This window comes from Homo sapiens, chromosome 19, assembly GCF_000001405.40.
Source record: "Homo sapiens chromosome 19, GRCh38.p14 Primary Assembly".
In the NCBI taxonomy this organism is placed as follows: Eukaryota; Metazoa; Chordata; class Mammalia; order Primates; family Hominidae; genus Homo; species Homo sapiens.
Genome location: NC_000019.10, coordinates 56,709,610 through 56,733,390, shown reverse-complemented (window position 1 = coordinate 56,733,390; position 23,781 = coordinate 56,709,610). Strand labels below are relative to the sequence as shown.

Here is a 23,781-nt window from a genome sequence, read left to right as displayed (position 1 = left end):
AGTGACTGTTGAGTGATGGAATAAACATAAAACCAGACTTTATGTGGGATTGTGGACATGCCATGAACTCATTTGTGGCCTTCCCTTTTCACTAAACAATAAAGCTTGTCCTCACTTTATTCCACGAATGTATGTGGAGATCACCTTTGCACAAGTCAGCTAGAATCAGCTGCCTCCCTTTCCTGTGAATGAGTTAATAGTCTCAAGTGTGACCTTCAGGACCACGGACAGATCTCAGCCAATGGTGGGGCTGTACTGATTAATCAAGGGCTTCACCAGAAAAATATTCACCTGCTTCTTGGATGCAAAGCACTAGTGAAACAGGTTGTCAAGACACAGTACAAACTCTCAAGAAGTTTATGGCCTGATAGGGAAAACAGCAAACAGCCAGTTACAGCACCAGAAGTTATGGAAATCAAGAGATGTGACACCTACTCCAACAGTTGTAAGGAGGGAATTATTTAAACACTTGATGATAGACTGGCTGGGGAAAATTTTACAAAGAAACTGACTATTGGTTTTCATCCTTTTTTGTTCATAATCATTAAATTAAAACTGTTTTCATATTTATTGTGAAAATACAAAAAAACAAATCCCAGCAATGATTTTTTAAGCACCTAGAATGTATTTTGTCAAGTTCTTACCAACCTCATCCTGTATTTCCAGGTGCAAGAAGCAAGGCTCAGAAAGGGCACGTGTCTGGCTCATAATCATCCATGTAATGAATGTTGGGGCCGTGGTTGGTAAACCCAGGTATATGCAATCTACCATCTCTTTTGACAACTCTAAAAGTTTTTATATTAGAAGATATCTTTTGAAGTCCAGGTAACAGGAGCCCAAGCATGCTTCTCATAGACATTCCATCACTGGGTCTATTATGGGAGGCAGGCTGGCAAATTGGGAAAAGTCATACAGGCTGGATTACATTCCCCATGAGAATTCGGGGCCCAGGAACACTACTGAAAAGCATTGTCACAATTTGACATCATGTATCAGAAACCACAAATGGTGTATTTCCTTCTATTCAGTGAAACTGTATCTAGAAATTTATTCTAGGAGAGTAATCCTCAAACCTTTTATTTTAGAACACTCATGCTCTTTTTGGAAATAGAAATAAATGAATTCATATTCTTAGTAGGAGAGTTTAACGTAATTCCCTCAGTAACTGAAAAACGAAATAAACAAGAAACAAGAATTTTTAAACATTGTGAATTTTTAAACAAGAATATTTAAACATCGTGATTACAAACCTGGCCCAACTGGTGTACATAAAACACTGCACCCAATAACTAGAAGAGACAATCATATAAAGTACCCATGAATTAACCAAATACAGAACACAAAGCAATTCTCAACAAATTTCAAAGAACTGAATCGGAGTATGGTTTCTGATCATGGTATAAATTAACTACAAACAAAAACAAAAAGAAAACTCAAAAACATCCATATATTAGAAAATTAAGCAATATATTTCTAAATAATGCATCAGTCAAAAAATAAAAATTTTAAAAATCTGGACTGCAAAATAATGAAAACATTATTTATCAAAACTTATGATACTTATATAAAGCTGTGCTTAGATAGAAATGTACAGCCTTAAATACCTATAATAGAAAACAAGAAAAGCTGAAAATTGATTATTTAATCATCCATTTCAAAAAGGTGAAAAATAAACAAAATTGAGTCTAAAGAAACAAGAAGGAAGGAAGGCCAGGCGCAATAGCTCACACCCGTAATCCCAGCTCTTTGGGAGGCTGAGGTGGGTGGTTCAGTTGAGCTCAGAAGTCCGAGACCAGCGTGGGCAACATAGTGAGACCCCATCTCTACAAAAAGTAGCCAGGCATGGTGGCATGCACCTGTAGTCCCAGCTACTCAGGAGACTGAGGTGGGAGGATCGCTTGAGCCCAGGAGGCAGAGGCTGCAGTGAGCCGAGATTGCACCACTGCATTCTAGCCTGAGTAACAGAGCGAGACCCTGTCTCAAAAAAAGGAAAGAAAGGGGAAGAATGGAAGGAAATAATAAAGTTAAAAGTAGAAATCAGTGAAACAGAAAGTAAGCATGAGATACAACTTATCAACAACCAAAAGTTGATTTTTCATATTTAATTACAAGGCTGACTTGTTGCTCTAGCAGTCTTTTATGTTTTGTAAGTATTTAGAATGCCAAATATGCTGCTTTCTTGGTTCAGAACATGAGTAATATGGGTTTAATTACCTTTATAATTTCTATAGTTAATGATAAATTGTCCTAAATTTAAAACATGCATACTGGCTAAGAAAACAATTATACACCTCAAATAATTTCGACTTTCTTTTCTTTTCTTTTTTTTTTTTTTTTTGACAGAATCTCACTCTGTCACCCAGGCTGGAGTGCAGTGGTGCAATCTCGGCTCACTGCAACCTCTGCCTTCTGGGTTCAAGCGATTATTCTGCCTCAGCCTCCCAAGTAGCTGGAGCTACAGGTGTGCACCACCACGCCCGGCTAATTTTTGTATTTTTAGTAGAGATGGGGTTTCACCATGTTGGCCAGGCTGGTCACGATCTCCTGACCTTGTTGTCCGCCCACCTCGAAAGTGCTGGGATTACAGGCGTGAGCCACCGCGCCTGGCCGACTGTTTTCTTCTATGAAAATATTTTTACCATGCTGTTTTGGCTTTTGTTTGTTTGTTTTTGAGACAGGATCTCACTCTGTCATTAAGGCTGGAATGCAGTGGTGTGATCATGACTCCCTGCAGTCTTGACCTCCTGGGCTAATGGGATCCTCCCATCTCAGCTTCCTGAGTGGGAGCTGGAATCACAGATCCTTGCCACCACGCACAGTGAACTTTTAAAACTTTTGTAGGGATCTAGTCTCGCTATATTGCTCAGGCTGGTCTCAAACTCCTGAGCTCAAGTGATCCTCCCACCTCAGCCTCCCAAAGTGCTGGGATTACAGGCATACACCACCACGCCTAGTCTTTGCTTTTTAAGTGCCAGCAGTATCAGTTAGGTTGCCACTAGATCTTGCTTAAGACTGATGGGAAATAGGGAACCCTTTTATTGTTGCCATAGCAATGACCCCAAACATAACGGAAAAGTTGGTTACATTATCTATTTCAAATTTTAGTCATTGTATTCTCAATTTCCTTTTTCTTTTTGAGACAGAGTTTCATTCTTCTTGCCCAGTCTGGAGTGCAGTGGCGCAATCTCCACTGCAACCTCTGCCTCCTGGGTTCAAGTGATTCTCCAGCCTCAGCCTCCCGAGTAGCTGGGATTACAGGCACCCGCCGCCACACCTGGATAATTTTTGTATTTTTAGTAGAGGCGGTGTTTCACCATGTTGGCCAGGCTGGTCTTGAGCTCCTGACTTCAGGTGATCCACTAGCCTTAGCCTTCCACAGTGCTGGGATTATAGGTGTGAGCCACCATGCCCGGGTATATACTCAGTAATGGGATTGCTGGGTCAAATGGTAGTTCTGTTCGAAGTTCTTTGAGAAATCTCTAAACTGCTCTCCACAGTGACTGAACTAATTGACATTCCTGCCAACAGTGTGTAAGTGTTTCCATTTCTCCACAGCATCACCAGCGATTACTGTTTTTTGACTTTTTATTAATAGCCATTCTTATTCGTGTGAGATGATGTCTCATTGTGGTTTTGACTTGCATTACTCTGATGATTAGCGATTATAAACATTTTTTCATATATTTGTTGGCTGCTTATATATCATCTTTTCAGAAGCGTCTGTTCATATCTTTTGCCAATTTTTAATGGGGTTATTTGGTTTTTCCTTGTTTAGTTGTTTAAGTTCCTTACAGATTTTTTGACATTAGACCTTTTTCAGATGCAGTTTGTGAATATTTTCTCCCATTCTGTAGGTTGCCTGTTTACTCTGTTGAAAGTTTTTTTCTTGCGCAGAAGCTCTTTAGTTTAATTAGGTCCCACTTGTCAATTTTTGTTTTTGTTGCAATAGCTTTTGAGAATTTAGTCATAAATTATTTCCCAAGGCCCAAGTTCAGAATGGTGTTTTCTAGATTTTCTTCTAGGATTTGTATAGCTTGAGGTGTTACGTTTAAATCTTTATTCCACCTTGAGTTAATTTTTGTATATGGTGAAATGTAGGGGTCCAGTTTTATTCTTCTGCATATGGCTAGCCAGTGATCCCAGCACAATTTATTGAATAGAGAGTCCTTTTGGATTGCTTTTTTTTTTTTGTCAACTTTGTCAAAGATTAGACGGCTGTAGGTGAGTAGCTTTATTTCTGGGTTCTCTGCTCTGTTTCATTGGTCTACGTGTGTTTTTGTACCAGTACCCTGCTGTTTTGGCGACTGTAGTCTTACAGTTTGAAGTTGGGTAATGTGATACCTCCAACTTTGTTCTTGCTGCTTCAGATTGTTTTTTCCAATTATGTGAAGAATTACATTGGTCATTTGATAGGAATAACGTTGAATCTGTAGTTTACTTTGTGTTGTATAGCCATTTTAATGATATTGATTCTTCCAATCCTTGAGCATGGAATGATTTTCCCTCCATTTGTGTCATCGACAGAATCCCAATACTCTTAAATATTATTGAGAAATCCCCGAAGAATGTTTCTTTCTACAGTTTATATATCCTATATTAGTCATGTTATAAATAAAAGAAGAGAAATTGTTCAATTTTAAACTTAAAAACAGCAACAAATCTATTATATGTTAAAAGAACCCACATTTTATGAACAACATTAATATTTTTCAAATAAAATCTTAGTAAAGGTAAAGGTGGTATTGTTTTACATTTTTGCAAATCCCTTTAATTTCCTCCTAAATAGAAGAGAGATAGATTTCCTCAATCTACTCATAAATTATATCATGCAGAGAAAATGAGAAGGAAAAAAGCCAAATAAAATATTAATGTTCTGGTTGGGCATAGTGGCTCACACCTGTAATCCCAGCACTTTGGGAGGCCAAGGAGGGCAGATCGCTTGAGCTCAGGAGTTCGAGACCAGCCTGGGCAATGTAGCAAGACCTCTACTAAAAATAAAAAATACTAAAAATTAAAAAATTAAAAACCAGGTGGGCATGGAGGTGTGTGCCTATAGTCCCAGCTACTCAGGAAGCTGAAGTGGGAGGATCACTTGAGCCTAGGAGATCGCGGTTGCAGTAAGCTGTGATGGCACCACTGCATTCCTGCCTGGGCAACAGAGTAAGACCTTGTCTCAAAAAAATCAATAAAATAAAATAAAATTAATGTTTTTAGAAAAATAGTTTGAAGTTGTGGAACCCTTACAAAGATCTTGATTTACTACATTTGGAAATTACTGGCCTAAGAGATACACCAATAATGAACAAGAAATTACAAATGGAGACCATCAGAGTGTACAAATGAGACGTTATTGATTCAAGAAACTGTGAAATATCCACATCACTTTTTAAATTCTGTGCAGCTGCATTTGGCTGGGGCAGAACAGCCCCTCCCCCACTGCCAGTTGTCACTCAGTTTCCATGGTGACTCATGTCCAAAGACACTGAGCATTGCTTGGCAACCAGACCAGCTCCTCCATTCTCTCCCCCTGCAATGAAGACCTACTGCCTTCCTGCTCTTCTATCTTCATACCTGCAATTGTCTGCAGAGGATCCCTGGATACATTAAAATTGAGGGGAGAACAGCAACATTCCGCATCCGAGGCCACGGAAACTACCAGCTCCAATGGTTCACAGATTCTGCATTTGGTCTCTCTACATTTCCTGGGCTGACACAATGTCTCTGTGAAGCTGAGGTGTCAGTGCTTGCTGTGAAGAAAAGCAATCCCCCAGTGAAAATCAGTGAGAATGAGGAGTGAGGGTGGCATGGCCCCATCTGATTCGAAAGTTCGAGAAATTGCACGGTGCCCAGCAGACACACATATCCCATTATTCAATAATTGTCATTGTTGAAAAATCGAAAAAATAGATTTTAAGAGAAAGAAGGAACCACCACACATTATTAACATGGCTATTATCCATAAAACAGAATATAACAAGTGTTGGCAGGCTATGGAAAAATAAGAAGCCTTCCGCCCTGTTGTTGGGAATGTGATGTGGTACAGGGGCTTTGGAAGTGAGATGGTTTCCGTTAAATTCTTAATAAAGTTACCAGATGATCCACCTGTGTCCTCATCTGGGTATATACCCCCAAAAATTGAAAACAGTGTTTTAAAGAGATATTTGTACTCTCGTGTTTATAGCAGCTTTATTCATAATAGTCAAAAGTAGAGAAACTGAAGTGTCCATCAAGGGAGGAGTGGATAATGGGTAAACAAACTGTGGTTTTTCACTTCGGGAGGCTGATGGGGGTGGATCACCTGAGGTCAGGAGTTCGAGACCAGCCTGGCCAACACGGTGAAACCCCGTCTCTACTAAAAATACAAAAATTAGCCGGGCATGATGGCGGGCGCCTGTAATCCCAGCTACTCGGGAGGATGAGGCAGGAGAATCGTTTGAACCCGGGAGGCGGAGGCTGCAGTGAGCCGAGTTCGTGCCACTGAGCGATCTCGAGGTTGCAGTGAGCTGAGAATGTGCCACTGAATGATCATGCCACACTGAGGTCGTGCCTGGGCGACAAGAGCAGGACTCTGTCAAAAAAAAAAACTGTGGTTTTTGCATGCGATGGAATATTACTGAGCCTTACAAAGAAATAAAACCCTGGCACATGCTACGACACGGAAGAACTTTAGAGCACGATGCCAAGGGGAATAAGCCAGTCCCAAAGCGACAACTCTCTATGATTCCACTTCCATAAGGTACCCAAGCTAGTCTAATTTATAAAAACAGAAAGTACAATGGCGGTTCCCAGGGGCGAAGAGAGAAGGAACGGAGAGTTAGTGTTTCGTGAGTACAGAATTCCGGTTTTGCAATATGAAAACTACTCTGGGTATGGAAGGTGGTGATGTTTGTGAATAATGTGAATGCAATTAATGACACTGAATTACACACTTAAAAATGATTAAAATATAAATATTGAATTATGTAATAATTTAACCCATTTTTATTCAAAAATTTAAAACAAACTTGAAAGTCTTTGCTTATGAATTAATATTAGCAAAATATGGAGTATATGGTAAATTTTATATCCTGTGTAGTTTGCCAGATTTTTAACTAGGAATGCCTATTTACTTTCGAATGCTTCCACAGTGCCATCTAGCTGTGGCAAATGGGCTTGATAGCATTTGATAAAATCATACGCATTGCATCAAATGAGAAGAAAGATAAAAAAATGAGACCCTAAAAATTGCTGTGTCACTTTCTTGTTTGTTCTTTGAAAAGAATTTGTGCCCCAAATTTTATTAATGAGCACGTGGCCGCGGAAGGCTGTAGGACTTTGGATTGATCTGCAATGGTGTAACCTCCTGATGGGCTGGTTCTTCCTGCTGACTGCACAGAAAAAAGCAATTCACCGAGACACCAGCCACGGTGGCTCATGCCTGTAATCCCAGCGCTTTGGGAGGCTGAGGCAGGCGGATCACCTGAGGTCAGGAGTTTGAGAGCAGGTGACCAATGTGGTGAAACCCCATCTCTACTAAAAATACAAACTTAGCCAGGCATGGTGGTGGGTGCCTCTAATCCCATCTACTCAAGAGGCTGAGGCAGGAGAATCGCTTGAACCCAGGAGGCGGAGGTTGCAGTGAGCCGCAATCGCACCATTGCACTTCAGCCTCGGCGACAAAGCAAGACTCCATCTCAAAAACAAAAATGAAAACGAAAAAACAAAACAAACAAGCAAAAAACAATTCACTGAGGCCATGACACTACAACAAAGAGTTTATTGATATGAGGCTGGCCACGCAGCGTGGGAGACAGTTATTACTCAAATCAATCTTCTTGAAAATTCAAAGGTTAGGGTTTTTCAAGGCTAGTTTGGTGGGCCAGGGACTCCACTTCTGGGTGGGGCTAAAGGACCAGTTGGTGGGTTGACAGATTCGAATGGAGCCACTGGCCATCGGAAATGCAAAAACCTGAAAAGACATTTCAAAAGGCCAATCTTAGGTTCTACAAGAGCGATGTTATCTGCAGAGGTAATTGTGGAAGTGGCAAATCTTATGACCTCCAGACTCCTGGTTACCATTTAAGTCTACACCTGAGCAGAATTCAGGCTCATCCTCCTAACCTGGTGGCCTTTCTTTAGCTTTACAAAGGCAGTTTTGGTTTTTGGGGGGAAGGGCTACTATCACTTAAATTATGAATTAAAACCTCTCCCCAGATTAACTTGGCCTAAACTCAGCACTGATCTAGGCACTTTGGAGGTTAAAGGCAAGATGGGGATCGGTTAGATCAGATCTCTTTCACTGTCATAATTTTTGCTGTTGTAATTTTTGCAAAGACAGTTTCAGTGGTATGGCTCTGGTGAGATTCTTCAGCTAGGGTGTGGGCATAACTGTAGAGAGAGTGCAGGCTGGATTTCAAATTCTGGTCAGCTCTATGGACAGGAATCTAACTGCAGGGGAAAATACACACAACCATCCCCAGCAGCCTTGGCTGTGAGCAAGTTCCTAGGAGTGTCCATGTTTTACAGAAAGCACTGGGCTCAGAGATGGGAGGTCTCCAGGCTGCCTGTTCCTGAGCCCACACCCCCATCACCTGCTCCTCCAGCCTGTCTCGGGACATCCAAGGAGAGGGGTCTGGCACCTCCTAGAGCAGGGTTTCCAGGGCTTCTGTGTTGTTCCACCCTCAGGCTTGGGCTAGCCCTCGTGCCCCTAGGAGATAGTTGGCAGTGTCTGAAGGAGTTTTTAGTCATCACAGGAGTGGAGAGCTGCTGAGAATCCAGGAATGCCCCTGAGCAACCCACACTGCCTAGCACAACCCTCCCTGCCACAACAAAGAATATCCTACCAAATTTTCAGTGTTACCCTGGAAGAGAATACATGATACAGATGATCCTCCCAACATGTTTGACCATCACCATATTGACCTCCTCTCCTCCAAGGCTTTTGTTCAATCTCCCTAAGCCACCCGCTCCTACCTGCCTTGTCATTATCAATAACCAAGATCGCTCAATCCCCTCATTTCCAGCATCCCATTCCCATCTCTAACATCACATCCTACCTAACAGATGATTTATCAATAACCAAGATCACTCAATCCCCTCATTTCCAGTATCTCATTCCCATCTCCAACATCACATCCTGCCTAACAGATGACTTATCAATAACCAAGATCACTCAATCCCCTCATTTCCAGCATCCCATTCCCATCTCCAACATCACATCCTACCTAACAGATGACTTATCAATAACCAAGATCATTCATTCCCCTCATTTCCAGCATCCCATTCCCATCTCCAACATCACATCCTACCTAACAGATGACTTATCCTCCTCTCCTGATACCAACATTCTTTTATCCTTTAAGGACCAATGCTCCATTGATTCCACCATTTTTATCAAAACTTCACTCCCACATCCAAGTCACCTTCTAGGGTCAATCTGTGAAATGGATTCTTTCTGCACACACTCCACTTTCATAGTCTGTTTCATGTGATTCTCTTGGAAAACCCCATCCCTGTTGGGCTCTGACTACCCTTGCCCTCCCCCTTACTCCTCACTCCTGGTGGCTAGAAAGGAACAGCTGCTACCCCGTTGCTGTTCTCACCCTCACTTCATGGTGACTCACCTCCAAGGATTCTGAGCACAGCCTGGAAGCAGGACCAGCTCCTCTATGCACACCACTACTTCAATGCATGACCACTGCATAATGGCTTTTTTTTTTTACAGAGTTTTTCACTCTTGTCACACAGGCTGGAGTACAATGGCACCATCTCAGCTCACTGCAGCCTCCACCTTCCAGGTTCAAGGGATTCTCCTGCCTCAGCCTCCAGAGTAGCTGGGATTACAGGTGCGCGCCACCACACCTGGCTAATTTTTTTGTATTTTTAGTGGAGGCAGGGTTTCACCGTGTTGGCCAGGCTGGTCTCGAACTTCTGACTTCAAGTGATCTGCCTGCCTCAGCCTCCCAAAGTGCTGAGATTACAGGCGTGAGCCACTGCCCCCGGCAGACTTTTCTGATCTTAAGACTTCAACTCTTTCATTCCCATTGCCACCTTATTCCTATTTCCCAAACAAAAGTAACAAGATTAAGATAATATTTTTAATGATGTCCAAAAGGAAATGAGATACAATTCTTACTTTTGCCCTTTGAACCTCTTCTATCTCCAGTAACAAACCTAAAACCTGAGATACTTGCAACTTTAGGTATATTTTTCTACCACACTCTGAGCTTACATTCCAGGCAAGGAAGAGCACAAACAGTAAGCAAGGAAAAGAAGCATCAGTTTAGGTGCAGTGGCTTATGCCTGTAATCCCCATGCTTTGGGAGGCTGAGACAGGAGGATTGCTTGAGGTCGGGAGTTTGAGACCAGCCTGGGCAACATAGCAAAACCCCATCTCTAAAAATAGAAAAAATCAGCTGGGGCTTAGTGCAATGGCTCATGCCTGTAATTCCCAGCACTTTGGGAGGCCGAGGAAGGCAGATCATTTGGGGCCAGGAGTTCGAGAGCAGTTTGATCAATATATCAAAACCCCATCTCTACTAAGAATACAAAAATTAGCCAAGCCTCATGGCACATGCCTCTAATCCCAGCTACTTGGGAGGCTGAAGCAAGAGAATCACTTGAACCCAGGAGGCAGAGGTTGCAGTGAGCTGAGATTGTGGCATTGCACTCCAGCCTGGGCATCAGAGTGAGTAGACTCTGTCTTAAAGAAAAAATCAGCTGGGTGTGGTGGTGTGCACCTGTGGTCTCAGTTACTTAGGAGGATTGCTTGAGCCCAGGAATTCGAGGCTGCAGTGAGCTATGATCGTGCCACTGCACTCCAGCCTGGGTGACAGAGTGAGACTGTATTTTTTTTAAAAAGGAAGTGTCAGCCTCATAATGGAACCAAAGCAAGTACTTCGGGGTGGCAATCAGTGAGGACTCCCCTGGGTGGTGAACTCTGCTCAGAATCCTGAATGGAGACAGGAAGGAGCCACATGAAGACCCAGAGCCATGGAAGGAACTGCATGTGCAAAGGTCCTGAGGATGATTCATTCCAAGAAAAGAGAGTGGCCCACGTGGCTGGAGCCAAACTGTTTACCTCTCCCTATTTCTCTCCTAGAAAACCTTCTGTCTGCATGGACTCTGCTCTGTCTCTTTGATGTTATCTTCATCCTTCTTCCATTTTACTCCCTCCCTATTTTCCCCTCTCTTTCTTATTTTTGTTTTATCCTTCCTTCAACATAGTCTAATATTGTTGGGGTCTCCAGAATCCTATTTAATTAGCAATCAGCACGTTATGTACAGGTAATTCTCTAGACCATTGGAAAAATAAGAATATGAACCTTGTAACAGCCAGCTTAGTACCTTCAGAATACTCATGTATTGTAAAAAAGTTTAAATGCATGGATCATACAGGCATTCATTCCTCTGTATCCAGTATGGTTCCAAACACTTGGCATATGCCATCAGTTCAAGACTCAAGGTGCCTTTTAGCACCATGGACAGGTCTTATCGGTGATGGGACTGCACTGATTTTTTAAATTGACACATAATAGTTGTACATATTGATAGGGTACATGTGATACTTTGATACATTCATACAATGTGTAACGATCAAATCAGGGTGAGTAGGCTATCCATCACCCAAACATTTCTCATTTATTTTTCTTGGGAACATTCCACATCTTCTCTTCTAGGTATTTTGAAATATACTATAAATACTTCGGAACTATAGCCACCCTACTGTGCTATGAAACACTAGACATTATTCCTTCTGTTTAACCATTTTTACCCATTGCCCAATCTTCCCTGCTTCTCAGTCTCTGGAAACCATCACTCTACTTTCTACCTCCATTAGATCTACTTTTTCAGCGCCCATGTATGAGTGAGAAGATGCGATATTTGCCTTCCTGTGCCTGGCTCATTTCACTTAACATAATGTCCTCCAGTTCCATCCACACTGCTGCAAATGACAAGATTTCACTCTTTTCATGGCTGAATAATAAACCATTGTATGTATATATATATATATATATATATATATATATATATATACACACATATATATATACCACGTTTTTCATCTGTTGATGGTCACTTAGGTTGATTTTATAACTTGACAAATTAATTAAAGTCAGACAGACCTAGATTACATTTCCCGTGAGAATTTGGAGCTAGAGGAACAGCTGTCTATCACTTCAGCAACGAGAATTCACGTGTCAAAAACATTAAAGGTGTGCTTTACTCCACCCAATCAGATGATACCTAGGTACTTAACCTAAGAGAGCAATTATGAAACTTTTAAATCTCAGTCCACTTTTATATTTTTCAAAGTAACTGGGGATCCTCAGATAATTTTTATTTGCATAATTTGTATTTTTTACCCAGTTACCATATTATAAATTGGAGCTCAGAAAATTCTAAACTTAAAACTCTAAAATGTAACAAACCTATTATTTGTTAACAAACATGTTTTTTATGAACAACGATTATATTTTCCAAACAAAACACAGTAATATAGGTAGCATTGCTTCATATTTTTGCAATAAAACCCTTTAATACAAGACAGATTCTCAAATTCAGTAAGTCAAATACTCACAATACTACATCATGAAGAAAATGAGATGGAAATAGGAAAATAAAATCTTAACGTTCTTAGCACAATAGTTTGGAATTCTGGACCCTTTAAAAGGAAGTTGATTCCCGCCCCCGCCCCACCAGAAGTTTTTAAACTACATTTTTGGAACTAGTGGGCTAAGATATATAAAAGTAATGGACATAAAGTTATAAATGGAGATCATCTGAATGTACAACAAACAGGCTATTTTTTTAGAGAAACTGCAGGACATTCACATGACTTTTCTTTGTCCTGAAGCTGCTCTTGATGGGGCACAACAGCCTCTCCCTCACTGCCTGCGCTCACTCTAATTTCCTGGTGAGTCATCTCCAATCTCAGGGGCACCGAGCGTTGCTTGGCAACCAGGCCAGCTCCTCCATTCTCTTCTCCAATGAATACATAGTCCACTGCAGGCTTTCTATCCTGAAGCCTCCAACACTCTCTCCCCATTGTCATCAGATTTCTATTTCCCATACAAAAGTAGAAATGTTAAAAGAATATTTTTAAATGTTCAACAGGAAAGAAGATATAGTTGTTTTGGTGGGTTTTTTGGACCTATTCAATCCCCATTAACAACCTGGAACCTCAGAAGCCCATTATTTTGGGTTATTTTCTTTCCTTTCCTTTTCTTTCCTTCCTTTTCTTTCCTTTTCTTTTCTTTCCTTTCTTTTTCTTTCCTTTCCTTTTCTTTCCTTTCTTTTCTTTTGTTTTCTTCCTCTTCTTTTCCTTTTCTCTTCTTTTCTTTCTTTTGAGACAGAGTCTTGCTCTGTCACCCAGGCTGGATTGCAGTGGCGCCATCTCGGTTCACTGCAACCTGCACCTCTCGGATTCAAGCGATTCTCCTGCCTCAGCCTCCTGAATAGCTGGGACTACAGGCACCCACCACCAAGCCCGGCTAATTTTTGTATTTTTAGTAGAGACGGGGTTTCACCATGTTGGCCAGGTTGGTCTCGAACTCCTGACCTCAAGTGATCCCCCACCTCAGCCTCCCAAAGTGCTGGGATTACAGGCATGAGCTACAGCGCCCTGCCATTCATTCTTTCTATCACACAGACTGTGAGGAGTTTTGAATGCAGGATTATATATGCACTATTTCTGCCATCTTTCCTCCATCCCAGCAGTATCCATAACACATGGCACATGCTAAGGGGCTGTTGATGTGAGAAACACACACCTAACTCATCTTTATGTGGGGCTGTGGGCAGGACATGACCAAATTGGGGCTTTCTCTTCTTGGTTACAACACAACAAAATTTGGCTTTTATTTATTCCTGAAATACGTGGGTGGCAAGCCACCCAGGTGCCGAGGCAAGAGACCAAGGACACCAGCCGTTCCAGTATAATAAAATATAAAACAAGAATAGTTATACCAGATATAGATCTTAGATATGATTATATATGAATGTCATTAATCATCAGTTTGTAGCAATTACTCTTTATTCCAATATTATAATAATCCTCGCTCTATTATCATAACCTAGGAAAAACCAGGCCATACAGAGATAGGAGCTGAGGGGACATAGTGGGAAGTGACCAGAAGACAAGAGTGCGAGCCTTCTGTTATGCCCAGACAGGGCCACCAGAGGGCTCCTTGGTCTAGTGGTAATGCCAGTGTCTGGGAAGACGCCCGCCCGTTGCCAGGCGGACCGTGGTCTAGCGGTAGCGTAAGTGTCAAAGGAAAACACCCGCTACTTAGCAGACCGGGAAAGGGAGTCTCCCTTTCCCCGGGGGAGTTTAGAGAAGACTCTGCTCCTCCACCTCTTGTGGAGGGCCTGACATCAGTCAGGCTCGCCCACAGTTATCCGGAGGCCTGACCGTCTCCCTGTGATGCTGTGCTTCAGTGGTCACGCTCCTAGTCCGCCTTCATGTTCCATCCTGTACACCTGGCTGTGCCTTCTAGATAGCAGTAGTAAATTAGTGAAAGTACTAAAAGTCTCTGATATGCAGAAATAATGGCGCAAGCTGTCTTTCTCTTTGTCTCCTCTCTTTCTCTGCCTTGGCTGCCAGGCAGGGAAGGGCCCCCTGTCCAGTGGACACGTGACCCACGTGGCCTTACCTATCATTGGAGATGGCTCACTCTCCTTATCCTGCCCCTTTGTCTTGTATCCAATAACTATCAGTGCAGCCTGGCATTCAGGGCCTCTACCAGTCTCCACGACTTGGTGGTAGTGGTCCCCCTGGCCCAGCTGCCTTTTCTTTTATCTCTTTGTCTTGTGTCTTTATTTCTACACTCTCTCGTCTCCACACATGGGGAGAGACCCACCGACCCTGTGGGGCTGGACCCTACAGAAATATACTTTGAGGTCACCTTTGCACAAGTTAGCATCAACAATCTCCGTTGCCAGTTGGTGAGTCCATAGACTCGACGTGCCTTTCAGAACCATGGACAGGTCGTGGTCAATGGCTGGGCTGTGCTGATTTTTAAATCAGGTGCTTAACCAGGGAACTATTTACCTGGTTTACAAGTGCAAAATGCTGGTAATACAGGTTTTAGGGACACAGCCCAAATTCTGATGGAGTGGTGTGGGAAACAGGCAGTCAGTTACATCACCATGAGAGATGTGGACAAGAGTACTAGCACTATTATTATTATTATTATTATTATTATGAGACAGAGTCTCGTTCTGTTACCCAGGCTGGAGTGCGGTGGCACAATCTCGGCTCACTGCAACCTCCACCTCCCGGGTTCAAGCGATTCTCCTGCCTCAGCCTCCTTAGTAGCTGGGACTACAGACGCCTGCCACCACGCCCGGCTAATTTCTATATTTTTTTAGAACAGACGGGGTTTCACCATATTGGCCAGGCTGGTCTCGAACTCCTGACCTTGTGATCCACCCGCCTTGGCCTCCCAAAGTGCTGGGATTACAGGCGTGACCAACCACACCCGGCCTACTAGCACTATTATTATGACAGTGTTGAGGTGGAGCTTGTAACAATTGTGAAAGCAGCGGATGGAGAAAACATCACAAAGAAGGTAATTACCATTTCTAACACTCATTGGCTCATATTACTAAATTAAAATTGTATTTTATATTATGTTAGAAATACAAAAACACCCAACTAATATTTATTAATTGCTTACAATGTATTGGGCATTGTGTCAAAATTTTACCCATGTCTATCACTCATTGACAGGTAAAAACAAATGAGGCTCAGAGGGTCTGGGCGCATTGGCTCACACTTGTAATCCCAGCCCTTTGCAAGGCTGAGGTGGGTAGATCACTTGGGCCCAGGAGTTCAAGACCAGCCTGAGCAACATAGCAAAACCCCCTATCTACAAGAAAATACAAAAATTAGCTCGGCATGGTGGCACTCACCTGTAGTCCCAGCTACTCAGGAGGCTGAGGTGGGAGGACCACCTGAGCCCAGGAGGTCAAGACTGCAGTGAGCCATGATCACACCACTACAGTCTAGCCTGGGTGACAGAGTGAAACCCTGCCTCAAAACAACATCAACAACAAACAAAGAAAAAAGAAAAAAAAGAAAATGAGGCTCAGAAAAGGGAGGTGTCTAGCCCATGATCACCCACATAATGAAAGTTAGGATTTGTAATCTTGGGAATCTACATGTTACCTTCTCTTCTGAGAATTCTAAACTGATCCTATGCTAGAGGCGATCTCGACAAGCCCGGGTCACTGGAGTCCAAGCACACTTGCCATTGAAATTCCTTCGCTGGGTTAATCAGGGTAGGCAGCCTGGCAAATCAAGGAATCAGACAGGCCTGGATTACATTTCCCATGAGAATTCAAAGCCATAGGAACAATGGGATGGTGTAGGGGCCAAGGCCCTTGGCCTCCTGATGGTTCACTGAAAATCAGTGACATAAAGCAGATTGGTTAATAGGAGAAAAGGTATAACAAGCTTACTTAACACGTACATATGGAGGCCGGGCGCAGTGGCTCAACCTTGTAATCCCAGCACTTTGGGAGGCCAAGGTGGGCAGATCACCTGAGGTCAGGAGTTTGAGACCAGCCTGGCCAACATGCTAAAACCCCATCTCTACTAAAAATACAAAACTTAGATGGGTGTGGTGGTGTGCACCTGTAATCCCAGCTACTTGGGAGGCTGAGGCAGGAGAATCTCTTGAACCCGGGAAGTGGAGTTTGCAGTGAGCTGAGATCACACCACTGCACTCCAGCCTGGGCAACAGAGCGAGACCCTGCCTCAAAAAAAAAAAAAAAAAAACAAATGTACGCATGGGAACTTTAAGAATGAACACCCAAAGATACGGGAGAAATTGCCCATTTTTATGCTTAGGTTCTACAAAGTGTGGAGAGCCACGTAGAAATACTGGATGCTAAGGGTCTGGTTTAATGCTAGTGGACTGAGTGGGGAAACCCATGAGGTTTGTCTGCTTAGATTCTCCTTGGCCTCTTTGTGCAGGGACACTCTCTGGAATGAGGGTCTTGTAACCTACAGTCGGACAAGGTAGATCAGACATTTTTTTTATTTTTATTTTTTTATTTTTATTTTTTTTGAGACTGAGTCTTGCTCTGTCTCCTGGGCTGGAGTACAGTGGCGCAATCTCAGCATTTGCTGTAACCTCTGTCTCCCAGGCTCAAGGGATTCTCGTGTGTCAGCCTCCTGAGTAGTTGGGGTTACAGGCATGAGCCACCACACCTGGCTAATTTTTGTATTTTTAGTAGAGACGGGGTTTCACCATGTTGACCAGGTTGGTCTCAAACTGCTGGCCTCAAGTGATCTGCCTGCCTCGGCCTCCCAAAATCCTGAGATTACAGGCATGAGCCACCGGCGCCCAGCCAGGTTTCTTTATGGCCAGTTTTTCAACAGAAGGATGGATGGAAAATTAAAGTAATATTTTTGGATTTTATAACTGGCTTTGGGGAAAAGGCATTCTGGTTTCTATCGCCCACCTTAAAGGAGGGATTCTAGTTTCTATGGCTAGCCCAAGGGAAGAATGGGGCTGAATGACAGGAGGATAGGAGATGGTCAAGGAAAAACGTTTGTGTCTGAGGTTGCTTCTGGAGTATTGTTTTCTCAGCCAGAACAATAGCATTGTAGTAATGTGGCAGTGTGTATCCTGGCCAGGCTGGCCTTGAACTCCTGACCTCAGGTGATCCACCCGCCTCGGCCTCCCAAAGTGCTGGGATTACAGGCGTGAGCCACCAGGCCCGGCCAATAAACTTCTCAAGTGATTGAGACCAGACTCACATAGTTTTTGGTTTCCATTGAGGAAGAGCTGAGGGCCTTGAGGAGCTGACGGGGACATGAATCAGTGCTGGTTTCACCTGAAGCAATGAGCACATTGACAGAGAAGTCCACTGGCCGACAGAGGTGGGGGCCTGGGGTGTAGAGGTGATCAGCTGGGGGCTGCTCTCCTGCCCTGATGTCTGCAGAGTAAACGGTAGTTTTCAGCCTGCAAGTCCTGATTTGGAGTTTGGAGAATAAGGCTCCTACCTACGAAATAGACCCAGTCCCCCGCATTGTGCCACTATCCCCTCGAGATGTAATTCCCTTCCGTAAGAAACTCAGATGTACGCTTAAATGGAGTTGTGAGCATTTTTTGGCGGGGGGGGGGGGGGGTGGTGTTAGCATATCTTCATTTTTTTTTTTAATTTTTTTTTTAGGTTTCAAGCTTTTTTTAAAAGTTTTATTTATTTATTTATTTATTTTGAGACAGAGTCTCGCTCGGCCGCCCAGGCTGGAATGCAGTGGCGCGATCTCGGCTCACTGCAAGCCCCACCTCCCAGCTTCACGCCATTCTCCTGCCTCAGCCTCCCAAGTAGCTGGGACTACAGGCGCCCACCACTGTGCCCACCTAATTTTTTTTTTTTTTTGTATTTTTAGTAGAGACGGGGTTTCACCGTGTTAGCCAGGATGGTCTCGATCTCCTGACCTCGTGATCCGCCCGCCTCGGCCTCCCAAAGTGCTGGGATTACAGGAGTGAGCCACTGCGCCCGGCCCTTATTTTTATTTTTATTTTATATATGTATTTTTTTATTATACTTTAAGTTCTAGGGTACATGTGCACACCGTGCAGGTTTGTTACCTATGTATACATGTGTATGTCCTTTGTAGGGACACGGATGAAGCTGGAAACCATCATTCTCAGTTGTGAGCATTTTCATGTCGGCTCGGGTTGGGATTTGCAGCCTGAGGAAGTTGCCTTGTGGTCTTAACTCAGTTGTGGATCCCAGCGTCTGCTGCCTCTGCCTCAGGTTGCCCCACTAGGTGCCCGTGATTTCAACTTGAACAAAGTTAAATATTTTTGCATTGATGTAATTTACTTGCATTGCTTAAAATTTTAGAAAAGGTTATAAAGTTCCCCAGAAATGTAGGACTAGATATTAAATGATAAATAAGGAATTATGATTAATTTTGTTGGTTACAATTTGTATCTATGTATATTTGCCATATTATACATTGACATTTGAAAATATTAAGTTTAAAATTATAAAAATTGTGGCACGGTGGCTCACGCCTGTAATCCCAGCACTTTGGGAGGCTGAAGCGGGCAGATCACTTGAGGTCAGGAGTTCGAGACCAGCCTGACCAACATAGTGAAACCCCATCTTTACTAAAAATACAAAAATTAGCTGGGCATGGTGGCGGGTGCCTGTAATCCCAGCTACTCAGGAGGCTGAGGCAGGAGAATCGTTTGAACCTGGGAGGTGGAGGTTGCAGTGAGGTAAGATCACGCCAATGCACTCCAGCCTGGGTGACAGAGCAAGCCTCCATCTCAAAATAGATGAATAAAATAAAATAATAAATTTTGCAATAAATCTATTGTGTATTATCATAACACACTTTTTTGAACAATAATTACACTGCATATTCCAAACAAAAAAAATAGTAATACAGGTGGCATTATTTTACATTTTTGCAAATTCCTTTAATATATTATGTTAAATTATGATCTGATAGACATATGTACTGAGGTATTTGTAGGTAAAATTATATTATTTCTGGGATTTACTTTACTTAAACTAGAAGGAAAAAAAGGAGAAGATAGCTGAATGCTTTCACAGTGGGTATACATTATTCTGTCTACTTTTGTGCATTTTTGAGAATTTCCATAATAAAAAGCAGGGAGGAAAAGATCCCCTTGGTTATGGGCCCTGAGCTATCAACTACTGCAGCTGCAGCATCACCCCTGAGTCCGTGTCTGTGAAAATTGGAAGCTTGGCTCACACCAGCACCACTGAAACTTTGGTCACTGCAAGGCCGGGCGTGGTGGCTCACGCCTGTAATCCCAGCACTTTGGGAGGCCAAGGCAGATAGATCGCCTAAGATCAGGAGTTTGAGACCAGCCTGACTAACATGGAGAAACCCCGTCTCTACTAAAAATACAAAATTAGCCAGGCATAGTGGCTGGGATGCCTGTAATCCCAGCTACTCGGGAGACTGAGGCAGGAGATTTGCTTGAACCCGGGAGGCAGAGGTTGTGGTGAGCCAAGATCACGCCATTGCTCTCCAGCCTGGGCAACAAGAGCAAAACTCTGTCTCAAAAAAAAAAAAAAAAATTGGTCACTGCAGGCCCCAGGAACCCACACCTTCTCCATGTTGATCCAGTGCACATGCAAGTGTGTGTGTCTGTGAGTAAATGTCTGTGTAACTGAAGTGAAAGTTTAAAGGAATGGCACTTACTCTAAGCCACATGCTCTGATTTTTTAATTCTGTTCTGGTTTTTTTTCCCCATGAAAAAACTGCTGGCCGGATAGACTACTTAATTCAAACACCTGCAATATTACATCATGCAGAGGAAATGGGAAGGAAAAAAGCAAATACAATTTCCCTGATCTTAGAAACATAGTTTGGAACACTGAAAGGGTCTTGATTCCCCTAGCAGGCCTTGAACTGCTTTTTGGAAACCACAGGCAGAACAGATATACATGAAATTATAAATGGAGGCCATCTGAATGTGTCAATGGGAGAGGATTTTTAAGACATTGTGGGACGTCCGCCTCACTTTCCTTCGTCTCTGCAGCTCACTTGGCTAGAAAGGAACGGCCCCTCCTCTCTGCCCCTCACTGTTTCCATGGCAACTCATCTCCAAGGACACTGAGCAATGCCTGGCAACCAGATGAGCTCCTCCACTCGACCCCTCCAATGAACACCTACTGCATTCCTGCCGTTCTGTTCTCACAGCTGCAAATGTCGGCAGAGGAATAGCTATATTTTCGATGGAAAGGAACCACAGCAATATTCTATATCATCATGCATCACACAAACTACCAGCTCCAGAGGCTCACAGTCTCCACATTAGATCCCTCTACATTTCCTTTTGCTCACATCACATATTTGTGATGCTGGGTTGTCAGTGGTCGCTGTGAAGAACAGCAAGTACCACCTAAAAGTCAGCAAAGACAAGGAACTGAGGATGACATTTTCCAGGCTGATTCCAAAGTGTGAGAAGTCGTGCAGTGCCCAACAGGCACATAGCTCCTATTATTAAGCTATATTGAAAAGTGAAATAAATAGTATGTTTTTTCCAAAGAGAAAAGAAATCACGTTACTCTCAATAATATGGCTACTATCCACAAGACAGAGCATAAGAAGTATTGGCAGGTTTTGGAGAAATTGGAAAACTTTTGTGCTGTTGTTAGGGTGTGATATAAGGCAGCCACTACGGAAAACTACATAAAAGTTTCTGAAAAAAGTAAAAATAAAATTCCCATATGATCTAGCAACTCTGTTTCTGGGTATATGAGCCCAAAGCATTAAAAGCAGGGTCTTCAGCCGGGCGCGGTGGCTCATGCCTGTAATCCCAGCACGTTGGGAGGCCGAGGTGGGCGGACTGCCTGAGCTCAGGAGTTGGTGACCAGCCTGGGCAACATAGTGAAACCCTGTCTCTACTGAAATACAAAAAATTAGCCAGACGTGGTGGCATGTGCCTATAGTCCCAGCTACTGGGGAGGGTGAGGCAGGAGAATTGCTTGAACCCGGGAGGCGGAGGTTGCAGTGAGCCGAGATTATGCCACTGCACTCCAGCCTGTGTGACAGAGCAAGACTCCGTCTTAAAAAAAAAAAAAAAAAAAAAAAAAAAAAAAAAAAAGCAGGGTCTTGAAGAGATATTTGCATGCCCAAGTTCATAGCAACATGACTCATAATAGTCAAGGTGGCAGCAAAGCCTGGTATCTATCAAAGAATAAAGAGGGACATTAAGTGTGGTCTGTCCATACAACGAACTATTAGCCTTAAAAAGAAAGGAAATTCTGACACATGCTACAACATGAGCTAACCTTGAGACATTACACTAAGTGAAACAAGCCAGTCACAAAAGGACAGAAACTGTATGATTTCACTTGTATATTAGAAGTATAATAGATTCGACGTAGAATAGTCAAATTCACAGGAACAGAAAGTGGAATGGAGGTTGCCAGGGGATAGGGGAGGGGAAATGGGGAGTTATGGTTTAATGGACACAGAGTTTCAGTATTGCAAGATTAACAAAATATGGGACATAGTTTGTGGAGACTGTGGCAGAACAATGTGAATGCCCTTCACACCAGTGGACTATACAAGTAAAAATAATTATAGTGATCAGTTACCTTATATGCCTGTTAGCATATTTCGAAAAGGCAAATCAACCTAAATGCCCATAAAAGATAGACTGGATAAAGAAAATGTGGTACATGTACACCACGGAATACTATGCAGCCATAAAAAAAGAAGGAGATCATGTCCTTTGCAGGGACATGGATGAAGCTGGAGGCCATTATCCTTGGCAAACTAACACAGGAACAGAAACCAAACACAACCTGTTGTTTCCCACAAGTGGGAGCTAAATGATGAGAACACATGAAAACACAGAGGGGAACAACACACACTGGGGCCCATTGGAGGGTGAAGGGTGGGAGGAGGGAGAGGATTGTGAAAACCAACGAACGTGTACTAGACTTAATACCTGGGTAATGAAATCATCTGTACAACAAACCCCCATGACACCAGTTTACCTATATACCAAACCTGCACTTGTACCCTTGGACTTAAAATGCAAGTTAAAAAATAAAAAGTTGAAAAATAACTGAAAACATAAATAATTTTTAAAATTATAAACCTATGGTCATGGTCAATATTCGTTTTAAAATTGTACTTTGTACAATTTTAACATGGTAAATTTTATGTGATGTGTATTTTGCCACAGTTCAAAATTGATTTTTAAAGGAGCTCCTGTGTAGTTTTCCATGATGCAAGAATGCCATCTAGTGATGGCAAAGGCCCCTTATAAGACAATGAGCATCACCTCAAATTAAAAGATAAAAAATAAGATTGTTTCAAAATGGGTATCTTCACCTATGCTTGTTTTCTGTTTAATAAGAATTTTTCCCAAGTAGCAATAACTGCATACATGGCCATGATAGGCTTTGGGGCTTTTGGACAGGTCAATGCTATGCTGTGGTTGAAATCCTGCAGCCCAGGCATGGATACAGCTTGTGAAGATGGTACAGGCTGGATTTCACATCCTTTCATCTCCTCAGACAGGAGCCTAACTGCAGAGTACAATAAGCCCAGCAGCCCTGGCTGTGAGTGACATCCCAGGAGTGTCTGCATTTTACAGAGGAGGACACAGGACTCAGGAAGGGGAGGTTACCAGGCTTTCTGGCCCTGAGCCCACGCCTCCCTTACCTGCTCTTCATCCCATCTCTGAGCATCCAAGGAGAAGGGTCCTGGAACCGTCCAAAGGAGGGATTCCAGGGCTGCTGTCTTGCCTTACCCTTGGGATTGGGCATTTGTGGTAGGCAGGGTTCTAATAAGATAGCCATGTGGCAGGGAAAGTGGCCCTAGACTCCACCTTGTTTGACCATGGGGTGTCTTCCAAACTTCCTCAACCACGGACACACACACACACACTCGCACACAAGAACAGATGGTGTCTGGGTTTTCCAGAACTCACAAAAATGTAATTCAAGCTGATTTGAATCACACAGCTTCACACACAACAGGTAGACAGGTCAGCAGGAGACTGCCATTGAAAAGATGGTTTGTTACTCACATTCACAACAGGAGGGGCACCACTGCACTCCAGCCTGGGCGACATTGCAAGACACTATCTGAAAAGAAAGAAAATAAATATTAACTACTTGAAACAAAAAGGAAATGTGACAAGTGGGCCCTACTAGACTAAAGAGCTTCTGTGCAGCCAGGGAAACTGAATAGAGCAAACAACCTACAGAATGGGAGAAAATATTTGCAAACTATGCATCTGACAAAGGTCTAATATCCAGAATCTATAAGAAACT

The 23,781-nt window shown here is 42.9% G+C and overlaps 2 long non-coding RNA genes across 3 annotated transcripts in view; one reads left to right on the top strand and one right to left on the bottom strand.

Moving 5' to 3' along the window:
- LOC105372472 (uncharacterized) overlaps window positions 1-23,781 on the top strand; it is a 69,204-nt gene that overhangs the window by 25,095 nt on the left and 20,328 nt on the right. The gene's annotated exons all lie outside the window — the stretch shown is intronic.
- Window positions 22,616-23,781, bottom strand: part of LOC105372473 (uncharacterized) — a 38,797-nt gene continuing 37,631 nt past the window's right edge. For both annotated transcript variants that reach the window (XR_001754023.3, XR_936110.4), the window contains one exon: window positions 22,616-23,592. This is a non-coding gene — a long non-coding RNA (uncharacterized LOC105372473). The remainder of the gene's footprint in view (window positions 23,593-23,781) is intronic.